The sequence below is a fragment of the Homo sapiens genome, chromosome 1 (genome assembly GCF_000001405.40).
Source record: "Homo sapiens chromosome 1, GRCh38.p14 Primary Assembly".
NCBI classification, from domain to species: Eukaryota; Metazoa; Chordata; class Mammalia; order Primates; family Hominidae; genus Homo; species Homo sapiens.
This window is the reverse complement of record NC_000001.11, coordinates 211173185-211184772: the sequence shown is the minus strand read 5'-3', so window position 1 is coordinate 211184772 and position 11588 is coordinate 211173185. Positions and strand designations below refer to the sequence as shown.

The following is an 11588-nucleotide window of genomic DNA, read 5'->3' as shown; positions in this document are numbered from 1 at the left end:
CAGGAGTTGAGAGAAACTTTCCCTGCTGTGGAAATTGCTTGTACCCTCTAGTCTGTGTCCATCTGGACTCTCTTTAATGGTGGAGTGTCAATACTCACCACACCCTGACCCCAGCTTTTCATCCTGACCCTGGAACCCCTCTTGCTGAGCTGAGAGCCCTTGGTCAGTACAGAATGTGTCTTATATTTTCTGGCAAATGGTTTGTTGTTTTCCTTCATTTGACTCTGCTTTTGCATTTACCTCTTCTCTACCTCCTTTCAGAATGAATCAAACTGGGACTATTGATCAAACTTCACCTTTCTCTGTGTCTCGCAGTCTTTCTGTTTTGCTTTATTTCGAAGTCAACAAAGTATCTTCAATGCATTTGAAACAGAAATACTTTTGCATTTTTATTTGATGTTTTGTATTTTCAATAACCATTCAATGCTCAGGCCTCAGAAGTCTATGATTATAGAGCACATTGAACACTGACTCAAGAGGGCTTAGGAGATTTTTCTTAGGATCATGTGGAAAATTCTAAGCTCCGCTTATGGTTAACAATCAATACTTAGATTTCAGTTCTTTTTTGTTTGTATCTGTTTGAAGACTCATTTGGGCAACTCTTTTAAAGCCTGTGACTCATTTATTTATGCACTTTATTGCTGTGTCACTGTGAAGAACAGATGGCAGTGAATAAATTTTGACTTGACTTAAGGACTTGAATTTCCCTTGCATTTATAGACTGCCATTTTTAATCTGCCATCTCTTTTAAAGTTGTTTACTTGTGAACTTCTAAGAATATACAGTAAAAGCTTGTGTTTCCTTTATCTAATCTAACACTTATGCTTAAACGTATACATCTGTGGATAGAATAGGACCTTCAGAATTAGTTACAGCTGGGTTTAACTGTTGGCTCTTCAAGAAAGTAGTTCATAATAACTGTATGTTTGGGCAGATTTCTTCATTTGTAAAATATTGGCTGTTGTCTTTCCAAAACACCACCAGAAAAGAAAAATAAAACAAGTTATTGATCAAACAAATCTAAATGCATTAGACTTACTGTAATAAGGGCAAACATCACCTTGACAGAGACTTAGTAATATCCCAGAAGGGAGAAGTCAGGAGGATACTTATGGAAGTTAGGGTGAGGGCTGGGTAGTTTTAAGGTGGAGAACTGGTTGAGGATTGGGCAGAAATTATGACATAGTAGCTTTGGTCTGGTGAGCTCAAGTGTGGCAAGCATATAGTTAATCTTGAAATTAAACTATTTTAGTTGGCTCGTGGTCTTGTCTTCCAGGAGAAAGTAGCTAGGTTATTTTTGCTTTTTCTCAGTACTGGTTCACACAGAGGTATGTCCAATCCCAGGACTGTTTAACATAGTGTATGGTTGACACACCTGACAGCAATAACTACGCATACCCTGATAATGACCCTGTGTGGCAGATGCACCTGAACGTGTGTTTGGAGTTCTGAGCTAAGGAATCCAGGAGTGGCCAATCCGAAGAGTCATTCCTTATCTATAGAGGAACGTCTGAGCTCCCATCCTGTCCCATGGAACGTGGGCTGTACAGGGGATTGAGGCCCTTTGTTTGGGATTAAATGAAGGTTGCCAGATGGAGGTTAAGGGGAGGGTGTTAAGTGAAAATGCTATATAAATTGCATGATTTTTCTGTTTTTGTTTTTTACAAGCAGTGATGGTTCTTCTGCCAGCCTGCCGCCATGGGATTGCTCTGTATGTAAGTTTCCTGCTAATAAAGCCCTGTCTCCTTTGCTGGCTCTGCTTCTCTTCTTCGGCCTCTTGAAACTGGTGCCATCCCTACTGAGGTTAATAAGGGTCCCACATGACACATAGGTGTGGGAAGTTTTACTAGTTTCAGTTCTCAATGATCATTTATGTCATGAGATTATTGTGAGTATGAAATAGAATGCTGTATATAAACAAGACTGGCAGTGAGTAAGTGCCTATTAAAACATTAGTTTCTTTTCTCTAACACAGCTGCTCCCCAACCCCTTCACCTGTATTTTTTAATACTGGGATTTTATCTAGCTATTTTTTATTTTCTGGGACAGAGTCTCACTCTGTCACCCATGCTGGAGTGCAGTGGCATTATCTTGGCTCACTGCAACCTCAGACCCCTGGGCTCAAGTGATCCTCCCACCTCAGCCTCCCAAGTATCTGGGACCACAGGTGTGAGCCACCACAACTGGCTAAGTTTTGTATTTTTGGTAGAAATGGGGTTTCATCATGTTGTTCAGGCTGGTCTCCAACTCCTGAGCTCAAGCAATCCACCCACCTTGGCCTCCCAAATTGCTGGGATTACGGACATAAGCCACTGCGCTTGGCCTCATCTGCCCATTAATAGCATCTAAATCAATGTTATACCACAGTAATAGTACTAAAAAAAGTTTAATGGGTGAATGAAAATCAAAAGGTAAAATTTTTAAAAGCCAAACCAAGTACTTTGCAGGATTTTAATACCAGTTTAAGCCTGTAAAACCTGTTTCTTCCAAACGTAATTAATTAATGTATTGTCTTACTTAACACAACTTTCTCATTAACTACTGCTAGAAGAAGACAGGTGCATTCTGGAAACTTGAATCACTAAGGGGAGGAGCTTCAATTTTGATCCCAGATATGTAAGTAAATTATTTAACTTAGTCAACTCTCATGGGGAAAAGTTATTTAAACTAGTTAAGGGTCATTATTTAAAGAAGGTAAGATATTCTACAGATGCTACAGCATCAGACAAAAGTGGGAGGTTTGAAGATCAGGTTTCTTTAGGAATTTTTTCTTCCTCTTTGAACTCGTATTCTTTGCTTTTGATCACTTTCATTGGAAAATAATTTCAGAAACTGTTTATCCGGTTTTCTTCTACTTTTACTGATAATCTTAAATCTATAATCTATTTTTTTCATAACTCTCTCTCTAGAATATGCTTTTTTTTTTGAGATGGAGTCCTGCTCTGTTGCCCAGGCTGCAGTGCAAAGGTGTGATCTCAGCTTACTGCAACCTCTGCCTCAGGGTTCAAGCAATTCTCCTGCCTCAGCCTCCCAAATAGTTGGGACTACAGGTGCGTGCTGCCACGCCCAGCTAATTTTTTTGGTGTATTTTTAGTAGAGATGGGGTTTCACCATGTTGGACAGACCTCTGGTGGTCCTCCCGCCTCGGCCTCCCAAAGTGTTTGGATTACTGGCGTGAGCCACTGTGCCCAGCCTAAAATATGGTCTTAAGGACACTCTCAACCCAGATCTGCTGTGGTTTCAGAGGAGCCCTGGTTCTTCTGAGAGTTATTCATTCGCATCAGATACAATTGCTTGGATGCTTTTCTTTTCTGCCACCATTCCAGTTTTCAGTGGAGGCACGCAGAGCACATCTGGTTCCAGACATGCTTCATTAGTTGAAAGGTTAATAGAATTGTAATTTTTTTTTTTTTTTTGCAGGGATAGCAGGAGGGTAAGATGAACAGTAAAGGGAAATTGAGTACAGTAAAAAAAATTCTTTCAAGAACTAGAACTCCCTTTACTCATTCATATGCACTAGGTATAAGGAGTTAAGGTGTCAGCCGACAGCTGATTATGAAAACCTCACCAAGAATGTCTGAGTTTCCACAGAATTTAAAGCTCTAGACTGATCTATTTTAGTTTCCAGGCAGGAGCTAATTCTTATGGCTACTATAGGGCTTTCTCACTCTTTCATGAGGCATTGGACTAATGGTAGCTACCATTTACTGGCAGCTGCTATATGCTGAGAACAAATTCAGTGCTTTCTCTGTCTTAACACTCATGACAATGGTGAGAACTGGTATGCTCATATTATAGTAGAAGAAACTGAGGCTCAGAGAGATTAAATAATCAAAGGTTAGACACCAAGTAAACTGGAAAGCCAGCATTGAGACTCAGGCTTTTTAGCTCTAAAATGTGTATCCCAAAGGCAATATAGAATAGTGATTAGGGATGTGGGCTCATGCCTGGGCTCAACTCCAGCTGTGTAACTGTGGGCAAGTTGTTGAACTCCTATGCCTCAGTTATCTCATCTAAAAATGGAGTTGTTAACCCAATTAAAAATGGGCAAAAGATCAAAGTGGCACATAAGTATATAAAAAGATGCTCAACATTCTATATCATTAGGGAATTGCAAACTAAAACAATAGTGAGGTGCCACTACATACCTATTAATATTAAAATAACAAAAATCCAAAAACTGACATCAAATACTGGAGAGGATGTAGAGCAAGAGGAACTCTCATTTATTGCTGGTAGGAATGCAAAATGGTACAGCCATTTTGGAAGACAGTTTGGCGGTTTCTTACAAAGGTAAACATACTCTTACCATAGGATCTAGCAATCATGCACCTTGGTATTTACCCAAATGAGTTGAAAACTTATGTCTACAGAAAAGCTTGCACAGGTATGTTTATAACAGCTTTATTCATAATTGCCAAAACTTGGAAGTAACCAATATGTCCTTTAGTAGGTGAATGGGTAAACAAACTGGTACATTTATACGATGGAGTATCATTCAGCAATAAAAACAAATAAGCTATCAAGCCACAAAAAGACATGGAAGAATCGTAAATGTATATTGTTAATAGAAAGAAGCCATTATGAAAAGGCTACATACTGTATGATTTCAAACGCATGATATTCTGGAACAGGCAAACTGAAAAGTGAAAAGATCAGTGGGTACTAAGGGTTTGGAGGTGAGGAGACAGGGAGGAATAGGTGGAACCCAGGGGACTTTTGTCAGCAGTGAAACTATGCTGTGTGATATAATGATGGATACATGTTACACTTGTCAAAACCTGTAGAACCCTACAACACAGAGTCAACCCTCATATAAACTGTGGACTTTTAACAATGTATCAACATTGGCTCATCAATTGTAACGAAAGTACAACATGAATGTAAGATATTAATAAGGAAAACTATGTATGCTGAGGGTGGGGCTGGGGAAAGGATGGTATATGGGAACTGTCTGTATTTTCCACAGGATTCTTTTTGTAAACTTCAAACTTCTCTAAAAATTCAATTATTTTAGAAAGTCTGCCTCAAAACAAAAAAGAAAGAGGGTTGTTGTGAGGATTTGATGAGTTAATATATATAAAACACTTAGAGAGGCTGGGCACGGTGGCTCACGCCTGTAATCCCAGCACTTTGGGAGGCCGAGGCAGGCAGATCACAAGGTCAGGAGTTCGAGACCAGCCTGGCCAATATGGTGAAACCCTGCCTCTACTAAAAATACAAAAATTAGCTGGGTGTGGTAGCAGGTGCCTGTAGTCCTAGCTACTCGGGAGGCTGAGGCAGGAGAATCGCTTGAACCTGGGAGGCGGAGGTTGCAGTGAACCAAGATGGTGCCACTGCACTCCAGCCTGGGCTACAGAGCGAGACTCCATCTCAAAAACAACAACAACAACAACAACAACAAAAAACACTTAGAGAAAAGCCTGGCATGTGCAACGCATTGAGTGGTGGTGATGATGATGATCCCTGTTGCTTTCTTGGAGGTGATCAGACATTTACTTTACTGTGCGTGGGGCCACCTGAATGTTTGGCAGTAAATGTAGTGTGACCTTGGACAAATAACATAACATTTATACCTTAATTTCTACCTCTATTAAATGGGGTAAGAATTATGCCAATCTCTTATGTTATAGTGCAGATTTAATGCATTAATCCATACAAAGGGTTCATAACAGTGCCAGCATGTATGTGTATTATTGTTTCTATACTATCTTCCAGTCCTTAGCACTCCACAGATCCCTGCTCAAATACACCATCTATTTTTTTTTTCCTTTCCTTGTTCCCATTTCAGCTCCAAAGCCCTTGAGTATCTTTCATCTCTATAACTCTGGCCTTTGGATGGTGCGCAGCATTTGAAGATTCTCATTATCTGCTGATCAAATGAATAGACAGAACTATAGAACTGAAACCTAGACACAGCACTTCTCCTGCAAGGAGTTGTTTAGCACTCAGTGTCATAAGAGCATTCAAGTTGTAGGTCTTACATGTGGTATGACTGATAAGTAATAGTCTTGCTTTCCTGTAGGTACTTCTTTACTATCTAATGTGTCTGAGGCTCTTCTTTTAGCTTTTGGGGTTATTCCAACATTTGGGCACTTTCCCTATGACATCTTTTCCCACCTTTTCCCAGGTTTTACTACCTGAATTATACTGCAATGAATTTCAGCCATTTGATCACCCCAGTGGCCATAAGTTCATAGCCCCATGTTTGACCTTGAGATTTGAAAGTTGTTCTTTCTGGTATGTTAAATTCCCTTCATCAAAAAAGTTTACCCAGAGTCTAACTTCACAGTCTAATATGAATTCCAGATTTCAAATAACCTTTAATTTTTTGGGGGATGAATTACAAATAGTTCACCAAAGTTAATTTCTTTTTCTGGAATGGTCTATTTATCTGTATCTGTGTGTATATAAATGAAAGATACATATTGTTTTGTGTTTCCTTATGAATTCTACAGATATTAATCTATGTAGAGACAGAATGTTCTCAAAAGAGACAATCACGTTTTTGTGAGTGCATGAAGTTGTTTAGGTACAGCTCTGCTAGAGAAGGTAGAACCAACACAGTTTTAACAAAAACAAAAGAGAATCTATTGCTTTGTGTTTTCAGATGTGGTACAGTCATGAACTGTGTAATGACATTTCAGTCAACTACGGACCACATATATGACTGTAGTCCCATAAGATTATGGTACTGTATTTTTACCGTACCTTTTCTGCATTTAGATATATTTAGATAAACAAATACTTATCATTGTGTTACAGTTGCCTATAGTATTCAGTACAGTAACATGCTGTGCATGTTTGTAGCCTAGGAGTAATAGGCTATGCCATACAGCCTAGGAGTGTAGTAGGCTATACCGTATAGGTTTGTGTAAGTACACTCTATGGTGTTTGTACAAGAATGATATCTCCTAAGGCTGCATTTCTCAGAACATATCCCTGTTGTGAAGTGACACATAACTATAATTATGAACTAATATTAATGCATGAAAATTGGGCTCAAGTTATTCCAAACTAAAATATTTAGGGAAAATGTATATCCAAGGTGTGCTGATAGCATTAGTGATTATTCTCAGGTTGAGAACACATATATACTGTTTACAAATAAACTAAAGCATAGTTTGTTCACCAGTCTTCTTGATTAATGGGCCTTAGAGTTCTCAAACATAAATCTTAATCTTTCAAGGTAGCATGGGGGATATGTTTGGTTTGTCAGTGAGGATGGCATAGAACATCCCCAAAGGAGAGAATGCTCCCTCTCTGGATAGTTTATCAATAGTTTATAGTCTGTGAATACTCAATACTGTTAATGAGTCAAAAGACTGTGGTTGTTGATTATTCTGGCTTTACAGGGAATCAGTAGGCTATAAAACAATATTATAAAGTGTTTTTTGTTCCTCAGAAGAGAGACACTTTGCAACAATAAAATAAATATATCTTTAATAGTTTAAATTCCTTTGGAACACTAGAAGTTTACTCTATCCAGAGTACCTTGCATATAATAGATCCTGTATAATTATAAGGAAGGGAGGACTCTGCACACCCAGGTATAAAGTGTGAACCCCAAATATCTGAGACAGATCTCAGTCAATTTTGGAAGTTAATGTTGCCAAAGCTAAGGACGTACACCTGTGACATAGCCTCAGCAGGTCCTGATGACATATGCCCAAGGTGGTCAGAGCACAGCTTGGTTTTATACATTTTAGGGAGACATGAGTCATCAATCAATACTTGGACAACTTGGAAGTGGGGAGGGGGCGTCCAGGTCATAGGTAGATAAGAGACAAATGTTGCGTTCTTCTGAGTTTCTGATCACCCTTTCCAAAGGAGGCCATCAACTATGTACTTTTCTCAGTGAGCAGAGGGATGATTTTGAATAAAATGGGAGGCAGGTGTGCCCTAAGCAGTTCCCAACCTAACTTTTCCTCTTAGCTTAGTGACTTTGGGGCCCCAAGATTCATTTTCTTTCACAAAGGCAAATATCTAAGGTTAAAAGATTAAAATCTCAGGTATTCAAATGACTTTTCAATAGCCTATATTAAACTTGTCTTATTTGCCTATGCCCACTGCAAAGGTATAAATACCCTATAACTTCTGTAATTGTTCATTACCATCAGGTCACTGCCAACTGGTCTCCCTGTCTCCAGGCTTAGCCCATTCCAACATATTCTCTACTTTGCAGCTGAAATGTTATTTCTAAAATGTAAATGTAATCCTATATCTTCTCTCTTTCAAATCCTTCAGTGGCCTTCTGTTGCTCTTAGATAGAGGGAATCTCTACCAGGCTAACAAGGTCTAACGTAATCACCCACTTAACCTCTTCAAACACATCTCTACCCATGCCTCCTCCAACTCTTAGATTAAGCTACACCTCTTCTTGGCCTTCTATTTACTTAGCCTGTAACTCTCCCCATCCCCCACACTGACCCTCAGAAAGGGTAATCCTTCAGGTCTTAATTTAGATCTCATTTCCTCCTCTCCCATACCCTGTTCTTACTATTCTTACTTATTCTCCCAATTCTGCATCATAAAAGACCTAGAAACTGTGATGGCAAAGCACAGACACTCTTTGATCTTTCTGGGCGTGCTGGGAAGTGGAGAGGCAGTGAGGGCACGTGGAAGGAACAGTCCTGCATCAGTAAGTTTTATCTCCAGCACATAAATGACTGAGATGTCTGTTCCAGTTAAGAACAAAGCTGGTTGCTTCTCTTCCTCAAGACCTTGTGTAGCCTCATGGTTCCTGCTGTGGGTAAGAAGCTGGATTATAATGGTATGCCAGATTCTCTGGGTCTAAGGATCTGGCCTTTTTTCCTGGGTAAGTGATCTGTCTCTCGGCTTGATTATCATGTTTCTCCCATGTTTCAAAATGTCTGATCCCAGTTAACTCTAAGAATTGGTGAGAAATATTATTGTTTAAGACACTACTTAATCTAGTATGTTTTGAATTTACTTGGTTCCCAAGGCACTACCATCAGAGGTGTGCTGGTATATGTGTAACAATTAGCCCTCTGGGGAAGAAGGGGAAGCCCTTATTTGCAGTATTTGCTTGTTTCTGTGGTGTAAATGGTCAATTTCAAGCTACTGATGCAGGACTTTTTGCTCCTTAGCTCAGCCAACTCTGGGTTCTTGTCTCATGACAGGAAAAAGTAGGCATGCAGACACTCAAAGAGTGAGCAAGGCAGGGAGTGATATTGAGTGATGAAAAAGCTTTTAGTGGGGAGGGGATGCAGGGATGGTCTCCCTACTTGAAGGCAGGAAAGTTCTCAATATTGTTGTGCCAGGGCCTTTTATGGGCTCAGAATAGGGAGTATGTGCTGATTGGTTTGTGAGTATGCAAAAAAGGTCAAAGCAAAGACAGCACTCAAAGGTGGGCACAATAGTGTAGAAAACCAACTAGGGAAGGGCAAGTATATGTAAAATAGTTGAAGAATGGGGATCAATCAGGGGAAAGTATGCCAAATGGGAAGGTGGGTTCTTGATCTGGTCCAAGGATTTAACTTGTAGCTTTGCTTTCAGGCTTTAAACTGTCTTCAGCTTGTAGGTGGGGTTCTGCTGGGGACCTGCCCCTATCTGCCTAGGCATTTGGCTGCCTCCTGTCACTATCACTACCAACATGTAATAGCTCACCAAAATGTTGTATTTCAACTGGGCAGATAAAACAGATGCTAATAACCTCAAGAGGTAAATAATAGTAAAGTAGTAAAATAATATAGTAAAAAAAGTAGCAAAATAATTAGGCAGTGATGAATTTGAGTAATTTATATCTTTATTTTAAAGTAATTTAATTATATTTTACTTTGCGTAATGGCTTGCAAAATTTCTAAAAATTTAACAATTCTCATAAAATGGTATGAGCCACCTCTAGTATATCACTGAATACTATTTTCTCTTCTTAGCATAAAGTCTGTTCACATTAAAATTAAGGAAACATGGAACTCACCCTCCTAAATATGTATTTAGGAAATTAACTTGTGTGTAAAGGTAGAGTTGTCAGTTAGGTATTGAAACAATTGCATAAAAGCAAAAAAAAAAATTATGAGATGTTACACTGATCTTTTCTCATTATTGGTCTATTTTTATTTGTTTCAGTATGTTTTTCTTCCACATAAAAAGAAAACAGACCAACTTAATAATATATGCACGCTTATATCTCATGGGTTACAGTGTTGCTCAACTGTGGTCTGCTGACTCATAGCATTCTCATCACCTAGTATCTTGTTGGAAATAGAGAATGTCAGGTATGATCCAGACGTCCTGAAGCAGAATCTGCATTTTGACAAGATCCCTAGCTGGTCTAAATGCACAGTAAATTTTGAGAAGCACTGATGCACTGAGTAAAGGCTTGATGTCAGATAAGACTGGCTCTAGAATAATAGTTTCCAATAGAACTTTCTGCAATAATATTAATAGTAATGTTTCATATATATGTCACTGAAAACATTGGCCATTAATCACATTTGGCTATTGAGCACACGCAATGTGGTTAGTGCCTGAGGAAGGTCCCCTTGAGTATTAAGCAGAGTACTGATTGGCGCATGTGTATGAGAAAATTATCCGGACTGGACAAAGAACCATCCAAGAAGATTAAAGAGAATAGTATTCAGCTCTACTACAGAGCAAGGGGTAGTGCCTGCTCTATAATCCAACCTGGAAAATGTTATAATTCATGGGATATTTAGTAGAGGACTCAAAAAGTTCTTGCCTCAGTAGTCAGAAATAATATAGACTGAGTGTACCTCTGGTCTCACCTAACATTTTAAAAGCAAGACTAAAAATTATTTTCAAGTAAGATAGAAACATCCTAGAACAAAGTTCAAGAATACCTATGGGAATATAAAAATATCCAACACCTAAGCAGATACTTTTTTTTTATTTAATAAAGTTTTATTTTTCCAAATGTACAGTTGGTTGGACATATTCATGCATCTTCACCAGTAGCTGGAGCATCTCCACCCTTGGTATTTCTGGTGTAAATTACTTGAGCTCTGTGCTTTGAAACCAGTTTGATAAGTCCTTTACTAAGGAGCTCCTGAAGGGCTGCCCTGGCCAGGGAGCCTCGAATCTTCAGTCTTTCAGAGACCACAGCTGGGGTTATAAGTTTGTATTTGGGAACTTCCTTACAGAGTTTGTTATAGGTAGCTTTGTCAAACAAGACTAAGCTATTGAGTTTGTCCCAAACTTTGCCTCTGGACCACTTCTTCTTTCTGGACTTGCCCCTGGATTTGTTTACTGGGTCTTTGTCTTTCTTGGCCAATTTTCCAGAGTCTTTCTTCTTCTTGTCCTTGAGCAGTATTGCAAAGGTCAGAGAGCAGCAGCGAACACTGCAGCCTCGCTAAGATGTCGGACAAAAAGCAGCAGATAAAATTTGAAATGTCTGATATCCAATCAAAAATTTCTTGCAAAGAAGTAAGAAAGTGCCACCCATGATGAGGACCAAACAAACAAACAAACAAAACACAAAAGTTGATTAATCAAAATAAAATAGATGTTGGACACAAAATGACACAGATTTTAGAACTAACAGATAAAGACACTAAAAGTATTTTAAACATTTTGTATACATTCAAAAAGATAAGTAGATATGT

General features: G+C 38.9%; 1 pseudogene; it reads right to left on the bottom strand.

The window, feature by feature from the left end:
- Positions 10876-11355, bottom strand: RPS25P2 (ribosomal protein S25 pseudogene 2; annotated as a pseudogene).